General features: G+C 40.9%; 1 long non-coding RNA gene across 1 annotated transcript in view; it reads right to left on the bottom strand.

Moving 5' to 3' along the window:
- OSTM1-AS1 (OSTM1 antisense RNA 1) overlaps nucleotides 1-16,962 on the bottom strand; it is a 35,763-nt gene that overhangs the window by 3,967 nt on the left and 14,834 nt on the right. The window lies entirely within an intron of this gene.

Genomic DNA, 16,962 nt, shown 5'->3' with positions numbered 1-16,962 from the left:
ACCTCTGCCTCCAGGGTTTAAGCAATTCTCGTGCCTCAGCCTCCCAAGTAGCTGGGATTACAGGCACGCACCACCGCGTTTGGCTAATTTTTTGTAATTTTAGTAGAGACGGAGTTTCTCCATGTTGCCCAGGCTGGTCTTGAACTCCTGAGCTCAGGCAATCCACCCACCTCGGCCTCCCAAAGTGCGTGAGCCACCACACCCGGCCAGAATTACTCTCTTTTAGAATGAAGAATTATTTTGGAGTCACTTGATGTGGACATCATTAGAGGAAAGCAGTCCCTGGAGAAGTGATTATAATTAAACCTCTTTTTTTTCTTTTTTTTTTTCCCCTCTTACACTTGCAGGCTGAGCAAACACTGTTGGAAAGGCAGGAGGATGATCTTGGTACCCCTAAGCTTAGGTTGCCAGAAAAGTACAAAAATCTGACTGCTGATAATTGCGGAGCAGGGACAAGTACAGCACTAGATTTGGAATATGGTAGTAATAAACCAAAGGGAAGGGCTTATCCAGAGGTCGACTAGATTTAAATCAATAAGAGAATGGAATTTTCATTTTAAAAATGTATTATTTATTTATTATTTTTTGAGACGGAGTCTTGCTCTCTTGCCCAGGCTGAAATGCAATGGTGCGATCTCTGCTTACTGCAACCTCTGCCTTCCAGGTTCAAGTGATCCTCCTGTCTCAGCCTCCTAAGTAGCTGAGATTACAGGCATGCACCACCATGCCCGACTAATTTTTGTATTTTTAGTAGAGACTGGGTTTCACCATGATGGCCAGGCTGGTCTCGAACTCCTGACTTTAGGTGATCCACCCTCCTTGGCCTCCCAGAGTTCTGGGATTACAGGTGTGAGCCACCGCGCCTGGCCAGATGGAATCTTCTAACTCGTTCTTGGAGAGGGAAACAGAAGAGACATAGCCCAGCCTCAATGTGTTTAGTCAAGATCCCAGAAATAACACACAGTGGCCACTTGTTTGTTTTTTGAGACGCAGTCTTGCTCTGTCTCAGGCTGGAGTGCAGTGGCACAATCTTGGCTCACTGCAACCTCCACCTCCCAGGTTCAAGCAATTCTCCTGTCTCAGCCTTCTGAGTAGCTGGGATTACAGGCACATGCCACCACATCTGGCTAATTTTTGTATTTTTAGCAGAAACAGGGTTTCACCATGATGGCCAGGCTGGTCCCCAACTCCTGACCTCAAGCAATCCACCAGCCTCGGCCTCCCAAAGTGCTGGGATTACAGGTGTGAGCCACCGTGCCCGGCCACATTGACCATTTGATTGTAAAATGTACCATACATATAAAATACAGTATGAATGTATTTGTGCAATTAAAAGAATGAAATAAAACGTATGTTTATATCCTCGCAGCTACATTAAAAATTAGAATCTTAGTATTCACAGGAACCTCTTCATGCCCTCTTAGATGGTGTCTCCCCTCCCCACCAACACACACCAGAGATAATCACCACTCTGAGCTGTGTTTTATTCATTTGCTTGCCTTCTTTATAATTTTACAACTTCTACATATACATCCCTAAAATCATGTGAAGTTTTGCTTTTTTTTTTTTTTGAATGTTACATAAACAGAAGCATACATTATATAGCTTCAGTGATTTGGGTTTTTCCCCAACACTCTGTTTAATGTTGATATTAAATTAATTGTGTTACATTTGCACAGTGGGGTTTCTTCATTCTCATTGTTGTATAGTATTCCACTGTGTGAATATACCACGAGTGACTACTCCTTACTACTATGAATGCACATTTGTGTTCTGCCTTTCTCTGTCTCTCTCTTTTTAGTAATTCTGAACAATGCTGCTATGAGAATCTGTAATGCATGCCTCCTGGAGTACATATGCAAGAATTTTTCTAGCATATAAACCCAGGAGCAGAATTGACTTTCCTACTGAATTTTACTATCAATCTGTTTCTCTAAATGGTTGTATTAATTTACACTCCCACCAGAAGGTAGTAAGAGTTATTATTGCTCCCCATCCTTGTCAACACTTACTATTGACTTACTTTTAAATTTTTCTTATTCAGATGGGAACAATATCTCTGTGGTTTTAATTTGCATTTCTCTGATTACTAACAAGATCAAGCATTTTTCAGGTATCTGTGAGCCATTTGTGTTTTCTCTTTTGTAAAATACTTGTTTGTGACTTTTGCCCATTTTTCCATTGTATTGTTTATCTTTTTCTTTTTTCTTTTCATTTTCTTTTTTTTTTTTTTTTTCTGAGAGTCAGGGTTTTACTCTGTTACCTAGGCTGGAGTGCAGTGGTACAATCACAGCTCAATGCAGCCTCAAACGCCTGAGTTCATGTGAACCTCTGGCCTTAGCCTCACAAATATCTAGAATACGGGCACCTGGCACCACACTTAGTTTATTTATTTACTTAAGAGATGGGGTCTTGGCCAGGTGCAGTACTTCACGCCTGTAATCCCAACACTTTGGGAGGCCAAGGTGGGTGGATCACTTGAGGCCAGGAGTTCGAGACCAGCCTGGCCAACATAGCGAAACCCCGTCTCTACTAAAAATACAAAAATTAGCTGGGCATGATGGCGCATGCTTGTAATCTCAGCTACTCAGAAGGCTGAGGCATGAGAATCACTTGAATCCAGGAGGCAGAGGTTGCAGTGAGCCAAGATCATGCCACTGCACCCCAGCCCGAGTGACAGCGTGAGACTGTCTCAAAAAAAAAAAAAAAGGGGGGGGAGAGAGAGAGAGAGAGAGAGATGGGGTCCTGCTATGTTAGCAGGCTTGTTTTTTCTTCTCCCTTTGATTCATAGGAGTTTTAAAACATATATTTTGGATATTAATCCTTTGTCTCAATTATATATTTGGCAAATTCCATTCCAAACCATTCCCCAACCACCCCCACCCCCCATCCATTTAGTGGTTATCTTTTCCTCTCTTTTAAATGTCTTTTGGTGAAGCAAAGCTTTAATTTTACGCGGTAGAATTTATCAACATTTTCCTTCATGAGTGGATATTTTTGTCTCTTGTTTTAGAAAAACTTACCCTTTATTGGATTGTAATGGTATTCTCTTAAACTGTTTTCTAAAAGTTTTATAGCTTTATTTTCCACATCTAAGTGCTTAATACAACTAAAATTGATTTTTGTGTATGGTTTGAGTAGGGTTCCAATTTAATTTTTTGCAGTTGTTTAATAAATTTTCCTGCCTGGGTGCAGTAGCTCACGCCTGTAATCCCAGCACTTTGGGAGGCTGAGGCAGGTGGATCACATGAGGTCAGGAGTTTGAGACCAGCCTAGCCAACATGGTGAAACCTATGTCTACTAAAAATACAAAAATTAGCCGGGCATGGTGGCACGCCTGTAATCCCAGCTCCTCAGGAGGCTGAGGCAGGAAAATCTCTTGAACCCAGGAGGCACAGGTTGCAGTGAGCCAAGATGGTGCCACTGCACTCCAGGCTGGGTGACAGAGTGAGACCCTGTATCAAAAAATAAAAATAAATAAAAAAATCAAACTTCCTAGTACTATTGATTGACTTTTTTTTTTTCTTTTTTGAGATGGGAGTCTCGCTCTGTCTCCCAGGCTGGAGTGCAGGAGCGCAGTGGTGCGATCTCGGCTCACTGTAATCTCTGCCTCCCGGGTTCAAGCAATTCTCCTGCCTCAGCCTCCCGAGTAACTGGAACTACAGGTGCCTGCCACCACGCCCAGCTAATTTTTTGTATGTTTAGTAGAGACGGGGTTTCACCGTGTTAGCCAGGATGGTCTCGATCTCCTGCCCTTGGGATCCACCCACCTCGGCCTCCCAAAGTGCTGGGATTACAGGCGTGAGCCGCCGCACCTGGCCCATTGATTGACTCTTTACTCATCTCTGGAGCCCACTCTGTTATAAAATCAAGTCTCCATATATGCATTGGTTTGTTTCCAGGTTCCCTATCATCTTCCATTGTCCCCTTTGTGAGATACCTCTGCTAATATCACACTGTCTTATTTACTTAGCTTATATAGTAAGTATTGCTATCTGGGAGGGCAAGTCCCCTTACCTTATTCTTTTTCTTAGGGGCACTTAGCTAATTTTGACCTTTTGCTATTCCCTTTAAATTTTTGAATTAGCTTGTCAAGTGTGGTGAAAAGTATTGTTGATATTTTCACTGGAATTGGATTTAATCAGTTTGGGGAGAATTAACATCTTCACGCTATTGATAAAGCTTTCTACTAACAACTTGCTATTTTTCCATTTATTTAAGTAATTTAAAAATGTCTTTTCAGCCTGGTACAGTGGCTCATGCCTGTATTCCCAGCACTTTGGGAGGCCAAGGTGGGAGGATTGCTTGAACCCAGGAGTTGAAACCAGCCTGGGCTACATAGGGAAACCCCATCTCTACAAAAAATAAGACAGATTAGCTGGGTGTGGTGGTTTGTATCTGTAGTCTCCTACTTAGGAGGCTGAGGTGGGAGGATTACTTGAGCTCAGGAGGTCGAGGCTGCAGTGAGTTATGATTCTGCCACTGCACTCCATCCTAGGTGACAGAGCAAGACTGTCTCAAAAAAAAAAAAGAGTACATGATTTTTGGTGCATATAAGCGTAGAATTAATTGGTCTATGTTCTTCGTGAATTAGGTAGCAATCCTTTTCATTTCTAGTAATGCTTTGTCCATAGTCTCTTTTTTATATTAATATAGACAGCCCCATCAGATTTATTCTATTAATATTTGTTTTCTTGTCCTTTGACTTTCAACATTTCTATGACTTTATGTTTTAAAAATCTCATGTAAACAGTATATTGCTGATTTTCAAAAATGTAGTCTGACAATCTTCATCATTTAAGTGGAGTCTTTATTACATTTATCTTATTGTGAGTACTGATATATTCAATTTGTTACTACCATCTTTTTGGTGCTTTATATTTCCATGTTTTACCTCTTCCTTTTTGCCTTCTTTTGCATTGACTGAGAATTTTTTTCCCCTCTCAGTCCAGTTCTTCTCATTCTTGTTTGGAAGTTATATTCTTTGTGCATCTATTCTTTTAGTGGTTATCTGTTTTAATATTTTCAGTTAACAAAGTTAATATCTTTCTGCCTCTTGAACAATATGAAAACCTTAGAAATCTTTATATATTATCATCTGTTTCTAGTACTGGGATCCAGTTCTAGCTTAATTTTTCCCCCCACAAATTAGATATTATTATTGTTCATACAATCACATAGATTTATATAGGGTTGCCTACATATTTACCTATATCTTTGCTGATTATTTCTTCTTCTCAAACCTTCCATCTGGGAAGGTTTCTATTGCTTTTTTTTTTTTTTAATTTAAAAAAATTTGGCCGGGCATGGTGGCTCACATCTGTAATCCCAGCCCTTTGGGGTTTTTTTTTTTAGACAGAGTTTTGCTGTGTCGCCCAGACTGGAGTGCAGTGGCGTGATCTCAGCTCACTGCAACCTCTGCCTGTCGGGTTCAAGCAATTCTCCTACCTCAGCCTCCTGAGTAGCTGGGATTGCAGGTGTATGCCACCACATCCAGCTAATTTTTGTATTTTTAGTAGAGAAGAGGTTTTGCTATGTTGGCTAGTCTGGTCTCGAACTCCTGTCCTCAGGTGAGCTGTCCACCTTAGCCTCCCAAAGTGCGGGTATTACAGGTGTGAGCCACTGTGCCCAGCCCATTGCTTCTTTATGAAGCATAACCTTTATAATTTTCTTTGGTGAGGGTCTGCCAGTGGGAAAGTCTCTCAATTTTTGGTTAAGTGAAAATATCTATATTTTACCTTCATTCTGGAAAGATATTTCACTGGGAATATTATCTTATTATTTTTTATTTTTAGAGATAAGGTCTCACTCTGTCACCCAGGCTGGAGTGCAGTGGTTTGATCATAGCTCACTGCAGCCTTCAACTCCTGGGCTCAAGTGATCCCCCTGCCTCAGCCTCCTGAGTATCTGGGACTACAGGTGGGATATAATTTTAGATTCATGGTTATTTTCTTTCAGCACATTGATGATGTGATTTCACTATCTTTTGGTTTTATTGTTGTTATTGTTGCTGTTGGAAAGTCAGTATTCAGTCTAAGGCTCCATCTTCAAAAGTAACCTGTCAGACAGAGCATGGTACCTGTAATCCAGCACTTTGGGAGGTTGAGGCAGAAGGATCACTTGAGCCCAGGAGTTTGAGACCAGCCTGGGCAACACAGTAGGACCCCGTCTCTACAAAAAAATTAAAAAAAATCAGCTGGGCTTGGTGGCATGTGCCTGTAGTCCCGGCTACACAGGAGGCTGAGGCAGGAGGACCACTTGAGCCCAGGAGGTTGAGGCTGTAATAAGCCATGATCACACCACTGCACTACAGCCTGGGCCACAGAGCTCAAGACCCTGTCTCAAGAAAACAAAACAAAAAAGTGACTTTTCCCCCTCTGTCTACCTTTATGGTTTTATCTCCCCTTTGGAGTTCTGCCTTTTTAATTTTTAATTTTTGTAAGAGACACAGTCTTGCTCTGTTGCCCAGGCTGGAGTGTAGTGATATGATCACAGCTCACTGCAACCTGGAACTCTGCAGCTCAAGTGATCCTCCTGCCTCAGCTTCCCAAGTAGCTGTGACCACAAGCATGCGCCACCATGCCCAGCTTGGAGTGCTGCATTTTTACAATCATAGTTCTACATGTGGATTTCTTTTTATTTATTCTGCTGGAGATGCACTTGGCTCCTTGAATCTGAAGGTTGGTGTCATTTACAATTTTGGAAAATTCTCCGTTATTATCTCTTTGGAAATTTTATCTTCCCTACTCTATTATTTCCTTCACGAACCCTGATTGTGAATTATAACTCTCATCTCTTTCATATTTTCCATCTCTTTGATTCTGGATGTATTCTGGAAAATGTCTGTGCCAGTTTTCCAGTTCACTAATTCTCTCTTCTGCTGGGTCTAACCAGCTGTTTAAGGCCCTCCTCCCTAATTTAAAAAATGGATCATTGGCTGGGCCCGGTGGCTCACACCTGTAATCTCAGCACTTTGGGAGGCAGAGGCAGGCACATCACTTGAGGCCAGGAGTTTGATACCAGCTTGGCCAACATAGCGAAACCCTATTTCTACTAAAAATACAAAAATTAGCCGGGCGTGGTGGCATACGTCTGTGGTCCCAGCTACTTGGAAGGGTGAGGTAGGAGGATTGCTGGAGCCTGGGAAGTTGAGGCTGCAGTGAGCAGAGATTGTACCAATGCACTCCAGCCTGGGTGACAGAGTGAGACTCTCTCAAAAAAAGACAAAACAAAACTGAATCATTGTATTTTTCATTTTCTAAAGTATTGTTTGTTTCTGTTTCAGACCTGTTTGGATTTTCTTTATAGTCTCAGTTCCTTGCTAATATTTTAAGCTCCTCTGTTATTTAATTAACATGTAATATTTGTATTTGGTAACTAAAAATGCCAATATTTGATGTCCCGGAGGGACTACTTTTGTTGTCTGCTGCTTGCCTCTTCTAGTTCACTTCCTGGTGCCATGTTTTCTCCTAGGTTTTGCCTTGGCACTCTATCTGAGGATTCTTGGAGTTTAAGGTTAAAGATGAACTTGTGTGAAGATTTGCATTTGCTCTTTCTAGTTGGCACTCTATCTGAGGATTCTTGGAGTTTAAGGTTAAAGATGAACTTGTGTGAAGATTTGCATTTGCTCTTTCTAGTCAAGTCACCTGGTTGTACTACTAATGTGGAGTCCTTTTATATTGAAATACTGTATTATTAGGGTTTTTTTGGACTACATAAATGGTGGATCTAGATAGAAAATCTGTGTGAGATCTCCTTGTATTAATAGTTTCAAATTCTTAGAGGAGATCTTTTTTCGTGTCCTTCCTTTCCTGTCAACAAGATAGACAAATGTCCTGGCTAATAGCACTGCTCTTTGGGGCAGGGTTTATTTATTTATTTATTTAATTTTTTTTTTAAGATGGAGTTTTGCTCTTGTTGCCCAGGCTGGAGTGCAATGGCGTGATCTCGGCTCACTGCAACCTCTGCCTCCTGGGTTCAAGCAATTCTCCTGTATCAGCTTCCCGAGTAGCTGGGATTACAGGCGCATGCCACCAAACCCAGCTAATTTTTTTTTTTTTGTATTTTTAGTAGAGACGGGGTTTCATCATATTGATCAGGCTGGTCTCAAACTCCTGACCTCAGGTGATCCAGCTGCCTTGGCCTCCCAAAGTGCTGGGATTACAGGTGTGAGCCACTACGCCCGGCTTATTTATCTTTATACTGAGGATGTAACCCTTTGTGGTTTCAGCTTTATGCAAGGATTCTCCTGACAGGTTCCCCACCTTGGGCAATACCTAAACATCATCTCAGAGTTGAGATTCAGGGTCTCCAGAATCTGACAGAAACTTTCAGGGTGAAAGCTGGAAGTGCTTTTTGGAAAATGCATTTGGAAAATGCTTACCTACCACGGTTCCTGCTTTCATTTATTTTTGGGATATGAAAATCCCTCCCTTTTGTGCCAGCTCAGTGATGCATTTTAAAAGATATCTTAAAAATATTTTACCCAGCATTTTAGTTATGTCCGTTGAGATTGTCATTCAGTATGTCTGTATTAGTTAGAGTTCTCCAAAGAAACAGAACCTATAGAATATATAGATAAAGAGGATAGATACGTATGTAAGATATATGTATATCTTCTATTTATCACATATATGTATGTGTGTCTGTGTATGTGTGTGTATATATATATACACATATATATGTGTGTGTGTATATATATATGTATATACACACACACACACACACAGAGACAGAAAGACAGAGACATTTATTTTAAGGAATTGACCCATGAAATTGTGGGGGCTGGCAAGTCCAAAATTTATAGAGCAAGGCAGGAAGGATGGAAATTTCACATGAAGCTAATATTGCAGTTTGAGTCTGGAGGCAGAATTCCTTCCTCTTCTAGGGACCTCAGTCTTTTAAGGCCTTCAACTGTGTGGATGAGGCCCACCCACATTGTGGAGAGCAATCTGCTCTATTCAAAGTCTACTTTAAATGTTAACCATATGCAGCCAGGCACAGTGGCTCATGCATGTAATCCCAACAACTCGGGAGGCTGAGGTGAGAGGATCACTTGAACCCTGGTGTTTGAGATCAGTCTGGGCAATATATTGAGACCCTGTCTGTAAAATACATAAATAAATAAATAAATAAAATAAGCCAAGATGGTGGTGTGAGCTTGTGGTCTCAGCTCCTTGGGAGGCTGAGGTGGGAGGATCACTTGAGCCCAGGAGTTTAGGCTGCAGTAAGTCATGATCGCACCACTGCACTCCAGCCTGGGTGACAGACTGAGATCATGACTCTAAAAATAAAAATAAATGTTAACCACTTCTAAAAAATACCTTCACAACAGTATCTAGACTGGTGTTTGGCCAAACAACTGGGCACCATAAACTAGCCAAATTGACACATAAAATTAACCATCATAGTACCTAATCCACCAGAGCGCTGGAAACAGAAGGCAGAGCTATAATTATCTCATGATAAAGTGTTAGTATGATCAAGAAGCCCAGCACTGTCATGCTTAGAGACTTCAGTAAAAAGAGGCCCAAGGCGATATTGAGCATCCTCTTAGGAGGCTGACAGACTGTTCTGTTTGCGTAGCCTAGTGCGCACTATAGGTACTACAGGTCATGTGTTCTTCCTCTGCGGAATTACAGGAAAAGGAGGATACATGTAATTGTCTCACGTTCTAGGCCACAGTGATGCAAGCTACTCTGGAAACTGGGTTATTTACTCAAACTTGCAAAAATCCTAAAAATATGAAGAAGGCTTAATGCAGAGTGATAACTAGATGGCCAGGAGGTCAGAATAATGGTCATCTTCGTGTTAGAATGTAAAATATGTTTTCAGGGGACTGAAAAAAATCATTTGGGGAAAAAAGATATTCATGATTTCTTAGAAGCCTAAAAACACGTCGTGATAGAAATGCAAACATCCAGAAATTACCTAGCCATCATATACATTGATATTTTCCTCACAAGGAATAATAGTAGACTGGCTCGTGATGCTTTTTGGGTCTGGAACAGCTTTTTTGTTCTATTTGAAGGTTTGGGGAATGCCTCCAGGGGAAGAAGGTGTAGGGGGGCAGTATCAGCAGTCAAGGGGAAAGGAGGCGAGAGGATCTGGCTGCCTGCCTCTTCTTTCTTTCTTTTACCAATCCTTCAAGACATTTGAATCTTTCTGGTTCTTGATCTCTCTCTCTCTATCTCCTCCTTTATTATGAAAATTGAGCCATGCCTCAGCATGAAACATTATTGATTGCTTTAAAACAGGACAGTGAAAATCTTTAAAAGAAATTTCAAAATATATGCATAACCAAGGGACTGGGAGAAAATACGAGCAGTAGTTATCTGGATGGTAGAATTATCCATGATGTTCTTCTTCTTTTGTTTTTTGTTTATTTTGAGACGGAGTCTTGCCCTGCCACCCAGGCTGTAGTGTAGTGGCGCGATCTCGACTCACTGCAACCTCTGCCTCCCAGGTTCAAGCAATTCTCTGCCTCAGCCTTCCGAGTAGCTGGGATTACAGGCGCCTGCCACCACGTCTGCCACCATGCCTGGCTAATTTTTGCATTTTTAGTAGAGACAGGGTTTTACCATCTTGGCCAGGCTGGTCTTGAACTCCTGACCTTGTGATCCACCCGTCCAGGCCTCCCAAAGTGCTGGGATTACAGTTGTGAGCCACTGTGCCCAGCTCCATTTGTGTTTAAAATAAAAATTCCAGGCCAGGTGCGGTGGCTCATGCTGTAATCCCAACACTTTGGGAGGCCGAGGCAGAAGGATCACCTGAGGTCAGGAGTTTGAGACCAGCCTGGGTGGCATGGTAAAACCCCGTCTCTACTAAAAATACAAAAATTAGTTGGGCGTGCTGGCACATGCCTATAATCCCAGCTACTTGGGACGCTGAGGCAGGAGAATCGCTTGAACCTGGGAGATGGAGGTTGAAGTTAGCTGAGATCATGCCACTGCACTCCAGCTGGGGAAACAGAGGAAGACTCCATCTCAAAAACAAACAAACAAACAAACAAAGGGTTTTTCTCATGCACCGTATAATTTATTTTATTTTATTTTTTATTTTTAGAGACGCAGTGTCTTGCTCTGTCGCCCAGGCTGAGTGCAGTGGCACAAGGCCTGGCTAATTTAATTTAAAATTTTTTTTGTAAAGACAGGGGTCTCACTATGTTGCTCAGGCTGGTCTTGAACTCCTGGCCTCACTCAATCCTCCCATTTTGGCCTCCCAAAGTGTTGGGATTACAAGAGTGAGCCACCACACCTGGCCAGATGCACAGTATATAAAACTAAGCTTTTATATGCTACAAAATCGTATCCAAATAAGATATTTTAGTTTCAAAAAACTTATTTTCATGCCAGCAAAATTAAAACTTACCAAATAGTAACAAATTCACATAATTTTATAAACTTATGGAAAGTTTTAATATTTTAGCTCTTCTCCAGAATTTATTAATTTTACATTTACATTTTTGCTAAAACAAAAATATTTTTTTCCAGCTGGGCATGGTGGTTCATGCCTGTAATCCCAGCATTTTGGGACACTGGGGCAGGAGGACTGCTTGAGCCCAGGAGTTTGAGACCACCCTGGGTAACAGAGAAAGACCCAATCTCTACCAAAAAAAAAAAAAAAATTAGCTGGATATGGTGCACACCTGTGATCCCAGCTACTTGGGAGGCTGAGGTGGGAGGGTCGCTTGAGTCTGGGAGGTCAATGCTACAGTGAGCCAAGATCATACCACTGCACTCCAGCCTGGGCAACAGAGTGAGAGGCCTTTCTCTCTCTCTCTCTCTCTCTCTCACACACACACACACACACACACACACACACACACACACACCCAGCTTTCAATTCAAGCTGGTATTTTGCTTGTCAACAATGTAGCTTAAAAGGCTGCAGTCTTCTTTCAAACCCCTATCGTCTATAGACAGTTTAGCTCTAGTTAGAGCTCTTAGAAGTCCACATCAGGAGGCAAATTCATCTGTAAAAGCTGTGATTCTTTGGACTACATAATTATGGAAAGGCCAGAAAGATCAGTTTAGGGGCACAGAAGCTCAAGGTAGTTCCTTCTAGAGAGTAATTACATAGATAGGAAATGTGTAAATCTGTGAACAGATACACTTGTAAGTTTCTCTGGGGAGGGTAACTATTGACTGAGCTGGGGAGAAATTAGTATTAGTGATAAGACCTCCTAGGACTTGACTGGCTTTTCTTGAAAAGAAAAAAGAATACTAAATGGTTAGTAGAAAAAAAAAAAAGGTTCTGCACTGGCATGTCATTGTTTTCTGGAGGGTTATTGGGATGGTGCTCAGTGACCTCTCTAATGTCACAAAGAGCAGAGGCATCTGGATTAGCAGAGAAATTAACATGCAGAAGAGACTTCAAAGGTTTCTACCACATCCAGAAAATTCTTTAATATGTATGTACACGTAAATTACATGTATTCTGAATTAAGCTCCACAAAATATCTCTAGATAGACATAGGGCTTCCTTGTTTGGTGGCTGATATGAGAAGGAATGCTGGACCACTTGCAGTTCTTAATGTTAAACCCATCTTTTATCCAGCAGAGCAGTTAGGGTTTCAGAAGCAGGACTTTCTCACTTTGGTGAGAAACATTAAATATACGACTAAAGATTGATGTGATGAAAGAGAAGGGAAGAATAGATAAGAGAAATAAAAATAGAGGTGCAAAATAGGAGGAAGGAGGGGAGAAAAGAAGAGAGAAACCAGAAACGGTAAAGGAGGAAGAAAAAATGTGAATTGAATGAAAGGATTAAATTGGGGGTAATGGGGAATAACACTTCTCCACAGGGTCCTTCTTCCCATGAACTTTTAAAATAGAGACTCCAACCCATAAACAAGATGTAACCTTTCAGCAGAGAAAACATCCAACCTTCTCAGTTGTTAGGAAGTTTTTTCACACTGGGAGGAAATCTTGCCCCTTGTGAGTGGGTCTTACTGATATTGAGAACAAAGAAAAAGGAACTGATACCAGGGATGTTGTGCAATGGTGGGGTTGCCATCCATTATTTCTGGCCCAGTTTGGTGATATCTCACCCCATTCATGCCTGGAATTAGAAGACTCTTCTTTTTTTTTTTTTTTTTTTTTTTCCAGTAGAGACAGGATTTCGCCATATTAGCCAGACTGGTCTCTAACTCCTGACCTCAGGTGAGAAGACTCTTCTTTCCATCCTGCCCTCTGCTCTCTCTATTTTTGTCAGGTGGGTGGTTTGGTGTGAATACATGGAATTGATTCTAGCAGAGATTGTCTAATCTCTCCAGCAAAACACTTCCTCGCTCATCGTTCCCCTGCTTTTCCCTAGCCATTGTATCTTCCTCACAAAAGCAAACAAGAAGGCTAATTGAAGCATATTGATCTAATGAAAACTTGTGACCAGATAAATGATCAAAACCTGCATTGAAACTTTGAAGAACTTCCTTGAAAATCTTGCGCTTTTCCCCATTGTGCTTGTCTCTTCTAATACTTGCCATCATGGCTGCTGGGAGATGGTTTGCAGGGGGTGCTTGTTGTCCCTTGTTTGTCTGTGTGTTATATGATAGAGGAGCTTTATGTGTTGTAGTAATAGGAAAAAAAAGTGGCTTGTCCTGAGTTTTCCTTTCAAAGTCCCTTTACCAAGTTATATGATTTTGGGTAAATCACTTACCTACGCTTGCTTTTCTCTGTGTGAGATGGAAGGACCAAAGTCTGGCCTCTAACACACCCCTACCTACCCCAAACAGTTGTCAACTCAATTTGTGTCCTATCAGTATGTGTTAAACTTCATGCAAAGTGAAAAGCATTGAACTCAAATAAGGCACATCTTATAGCCTGATGATTGAGGGATACAAGGGTTGGGGAGAAGGAGGGACATCCCTCAAACACTTGTAAGCAGCACAGGCCGAAAGCTCACCATTTAACAAAAACGCCTTTGGTATTTAAACTTCATGGAGTAACTGAAAAAAAACAGTAGAAATTTAGAAAACTATTTCAGACTAAATCATTTATAGGAATTCAAATCTATATTTTAGATTTTTTTCACATACTCACAGACTTGTAAAATCTTACGATTGTTGAATTCCAATTTCCAATTTTTTTGTTTCAAAATCTGAAAATTGCTAATTCCTTTTTCTTCCATTTTGTAATAATAATGACTATATATTCTAAAAATAATCACTCAAGATTTGCTCACACCAGCTGATAGGAAATTTCTTATCTCTTGTGATGAGTTGACACAAAGTCCCAAAATACAATCATCATAATAGCTACATAATAAAATGGCAATAACTACCTCTTACTGACTCTTACTATATGCCAGGAACTACGTAAAGCTTTAGCTCCATTCTCTTATTTAATTCTCACATCTGTCCTGTAAGGTAGTTACTGCTTTAACCTCATTTTACAGATAAATAAACAGAGGCCTAAATTTTAGAGGCTAAGCCCACAAGTGCTCATTAAGAAGATACACCAAGATCCATTCATTTGTATGTGTAATCCATTTGGACATGCTGGCACAAAGACACATAGGTGGATCCTGTCTTCATGAAACTTATAGTCTGCTGGGAGATAGAATCTTCACTGATTTTGCTTAAATGACTACAAAAATCCAAATCTAATTAGAGAAAAAATAGTCTTTCTATTAAACTGGTTATATTTAATTTTGAAAGTTGGCTCTTAGTTGTATGGTAATTTTGGGATCTTTTAAATAATTATAAGAGGCATTTATTTTCTTAATTTTTTATAACAGTTTGTTGTTGTTGTTTTGTTGTTGTTGTTGTTGTTTGAGACAGAGTCTTGCTCTGTCACCAAGGCTAGAGTGCAGTGGCGTGATCTTGGCTCACTGCAGCCTCTGCCTCCCGGGTTCAAGCAATTCTCCTGCCTCAGCCTCCCGGGTAGTTGGGATTACAGGAACACGCCACTACACCTGGCTATTTTTTGTATTTTTAGTAGAGATGGGGTTTCGCCATGTTGGCCAGGCTAGTCTCAAACTCCTGACCTCGTGGTCTGCCTGCCTCGGCCTCCCAAAGTGCTGGGATTACAGGCATGAGCCACCGCGGCCAGCTTATAACAGCTTTATTGAGATATAATTCACATACTATAAAGTTCATCTTATAAAGTCTACAATTCTGTAGTTTTTCATACATTCAGGGTGGCATATCCATCACTACTCTCAAATTCCAGAATTTTCATCACTCAAAACGGAAACTCCATACTCATTAGCAGTCACTTCCCATTTCCCCATACCAGCCCCTGGCAACTACTACTAATTTACTTCCTATTTTATTTTATTTTATTTTATTTTATTTTATTTTATTTTATTTTATTTTATTTTGTGACAGGGTGTCACTCTGTCTCCCAGGCTGGAGTGCAGTGGCGCCATCTTGGTTCACTGCAACCTCCACCTCCCAGGTTTCAGCAATCCTCCCACCTCAGCCTCCTGAGTAGCTGGGACTACAGGTGCACACCACCATGCCTGGCCAATTTTTTAAAAAATGTTTTGTAGAGACAGGCTTTTACCATGTTGCCCAGGCTGTTCTCAAACTCCAGAGCTCAAGCAATCCACCCACCTTGGCCTCTCAAAGTGCTGGGATTACAGGTATGAGCCACTGCACCCAGCCTAATTTACTTCCTATGTCTATGGATTCACCTATTTTGGACATTTCATATAAATAAAACTATACACTATATAGCCTTTTGCCTCGGCTTGTTTCACTTAGGATAATGTTTCAAAGTTTATCTTGTAGCATGTGTCCGAACTTCATTTCTTTTTTTGTTTTGTCAAATAATATTCTGTTGTGTGAATATGCCACATTTTGCTGATCTCTTCATAAGTTGATAGATATTTGAGTTGTTTCTACTCTTTGGCTATTATGGGTAATGCTAATATGACATTCGTGTGTAAGTTTTCATATGGATGTATGTCTTCAGTTCTCTAGGGTATATATCTAGGAGCAGAACCACTGGATCATACAGTAACTCTATGTTTAACTTCTTGAGGAACTGCCAAACTATTTTCCAATGTGGCTGCACCATTTTACATTCCCACCAACAACGTATGAAGGTTCTGATTTCTCTACATTATTGACAACATTTGCTATCGTCCATCCTTTTTATTATGGTTATCCTAGTGGGTGTAAAGTGGTATCTCATTGTGGTTTTCATTTGATTTTCCTAATGACTAATGATGTTGAGGAGGCATTTATTTTTATGATTTAAAATAATTTTGGCTGGGGGTGTTGGCTCACACCTGTAATCCCAGCAATTTGGGAGGCTAAGGCAGGAGGATCACTTGAGCTCAGGAGTTTGAGACAACATAGAGCCTGGACAACATAGAGAAGCCCTGTCTCTACAAAAAAATAAAAAAAATTAGCTGGGTGTGGTGGTGCCCCCTGTGGTCCCAGCTCTTCAGGAGGCTGAGATGGGAGGATGGCTTGAGCCAGGGAGATTGAGCCTGCAGTGAGCCATGATGGCGCCACTACACTCTAGCCTGGGTGACAGAGCAAGACTCTGTTTCAAAATAAAATAAAATAATACAATAATCTCAACCAGAGGAGCACAATAGAATCACTTGAAGAGCTTTTACAAAATACTACCTGAGCCTCACACTACTTTATGTGGTGAAAATGTATAATAGAACACCAACTCAAAATGGCTTAAATCATAAGGAAAATTATTATTTCACACAGCAAAAGTGCAAGTTTGGGGGATTACATAGTTGTTTAATATAATAGCCCAGTACTATCATTGCGACCCAACTTCCTTTCTTCTGTGTCTCCTCAGCACGCTCATTTTGTCTGTACGCTTACTGCCTTTGTAGTGGTAAGGTGGCCGCTGGAATTCTAGACCTGAAAATATCCAGTGGAAGAAAAACCTTTCCCAGAAACCTCTGGCTGTCTTTTATGACACCTCAAGGGCCTAGAACTTTATCACATGCCCAAATCTAAACCCATCACAGGCAAAAGAAGTCGGA

The sequence above is a fragment of the Homo sapiens genome, chromosome 6 (assembly GCF_000001405.40).
Source record: "Homo sapiens chromosome 6, GRCh38.p14 Primary Assembly".
NCBI lineage: Eukaryota > Metazoa > Chordata > Mammalia > Primates > Hominidae > Homo > Homo sapiens.
This window is presented reverse-complemented; position numbering and strand designations above follow the sequence as displayed.